This window comes from Homo sapiens, chromosome 3, assembly GCF_000001405.40.
Source record: "Homo sapiens chromosome 3, GRCh38.p14 Primary Assembly".
NCBI classification, from domain to species: domain Eukaryota; kingdom Metazoa; phylum Chordata; class Mammalia; order Primates; family Hominidae; genus Homo; species Homo sapiens.
In genome coordinates this window covers 32,939,384-32,941,140 of record NC_000003.12, presented here as the reverse complement: position 1 = coordinate 32,941,140, position 1,757 = coordinate 32,939,384, and the positions used below count along the sequence as shown (strand labels likewise).

The window sequence follows — 1,757 nt, the reverse complement described above, 5'->3', positions numbered from 1 at the left end:
TGGGTTCTTGGTCTCACCGACTTCAAGAATGAAATCTCGGACCCTCGCGGTGACTGTTAAACTCTTAAGGTGGCGCGCCTGGAGTTTGTCCTTTCTTATGTTCAGATGTGCTCAGGGTCTCAGATGTGGTCGGGGTCTCGCTGGCTCAGGAGTGAAGCTGCAGACTTTCTTCGTTAAGTGTTACAGCTCTTAAACCAGTGCGTCTGGAGTTGTTCGTTCCTCTCAGTGGGCTCGTGGTCTCGCTGGGCTGAGGAGTGAAGCTGCAAATTGTCACAGTGAGTGTTACAGCTCATAAAAGCAGTTAACCCAAAGAGCGAACAGTAGCAGGATTTGTTGTAAAGAGCAAAAGAACAAAGCTTCCACACTGTGGAAAGGGACCCCAGCGGGTTGCCAATGCTGGTCCGGCAGCCTGCTTTTATTCTCTTATCTGGCCCCACCCACATCCTGCTGATTGGTAGAGCCCAGTGGCCTGTTTTGTCAGGGCGCTGATTGGTGCGTTTACAATCCCTGAGCTAGATACAAACGTTCTCCACGTCCCCATCAGATTAGTTAGATACAGAATTTGGACACACAGGTTCTCCAAGGCCCCACCAGAGCAGCTAGATACAGAGTGTCGATTGGTGCATTCACAAACCTTGAGCTAAACACAGGGTGCTGATTGGTGTGTTTACAAACCTTGAGCTGGATACACAGTGCCGATTGGTGTATTTACAATCCCTGAGCTAGACATAAAGGTTCTCCACCTCCCCACCAGAGCAGCCAGATACAGAGTGTCGATTGGTGCACTCACAAACCTTGAGCTAAACACAGGGTGCTGATTGGTGTATTTACAATCCCTGAGCTAGACATAAAGGTTCTCCACGTCCCCACCAGGGCAGCTAGATACAGAGTGTCCATTGGTGCATTCACAAACCTTGAGCTAAACACAGGGTGCTGATTGGTGTGCTTACAATCCCTGAGCTAGATATAAAGACTCCACATCCCTACCAGACTCAGGAGCCCAGCTGTCTTCACCCAGTGGATCCCGCACTGGGGCTGCAGGTGGAGCTGTCTGCCAGTCCCGCGCCATGCGCTCGCACTCCTCACCCTTTGGGCGGTCGATGGGACTGGGCGCCCTGGAGCAGGGGGCGGCATTCGTCGGGGAGGCTCAGGCTGCACAGGAACCCACGGAGGCGGGGGAAGGCTCAGGCATGGTGGGCTGCAGTCCCGAGGCCTGCCCCGTGGGAAGGCAGCTAAGGCCCAGCGAGAAATTGAGCGCAGCGCCTGTGGGCTGGCACTGCTGGGGGACCCAGTACACCCTCCGCAGCCGCTGGCCCGGGTGCTAAGCCCCTCACTGCCCGGGGCCGACAGGGCTGGCGGGCTTCTCCAAGTGCGGGGTCAGCCAAGCCCACGCCCACCCAGAACTCCAGCTGGCCCGCAAGCGCTGCTCGCAGCCCTGGTTCCTGCTCGCGCCTCTCCCTCCACACCTCCTTGCAAGCTGAGGGAGCCGGCTCTGGCCTTGGCCAGCCCAGAATGGGGCTCCCACAGTGCAGCGGCGGGCCGAAGGGCTCCTCAAATGCCGCCAAAGTGGGAACCCAGGCAGAGGAGGCGCCGAGAGCAAGCGAGGGCTCTGAGGACTGCCAGCACGCTGTCACCTCTCAGTATTAGTGACTATGTAAGAGGCAGCTCTCTTCTGGGCTTTCACATACTCGTTTGTGTGTGTGTGTGTGTGTTTGTGTGTGTGTGTGTTTTGTTTTTTTGAGACAGAGTTTCAAGGG

The 1,757-nt window shown here is 56.3% G+C and overlaps 1 annotated feature.

Annotated features, from left to right (window-relative positions):
- Nucleotides 836-1,338: an enhancer, noted in NCBI's record as "H3K27ac-H3K4me1 hESC enhancer chr3:32981295-32981797 (GRCh37/hg19 assembly coordinates)". NCBI's record gives its function as "activates a minimal SCP1, AML or CMV promoter by ChIP-STARR-seq in primed H9 embryonic stem cells {active_cell/tissue: H9 hESC(primed)}" and the evidence as "EXISTENCE:reporter gene assay evidence [ECO:0000049][PMID:30033119]".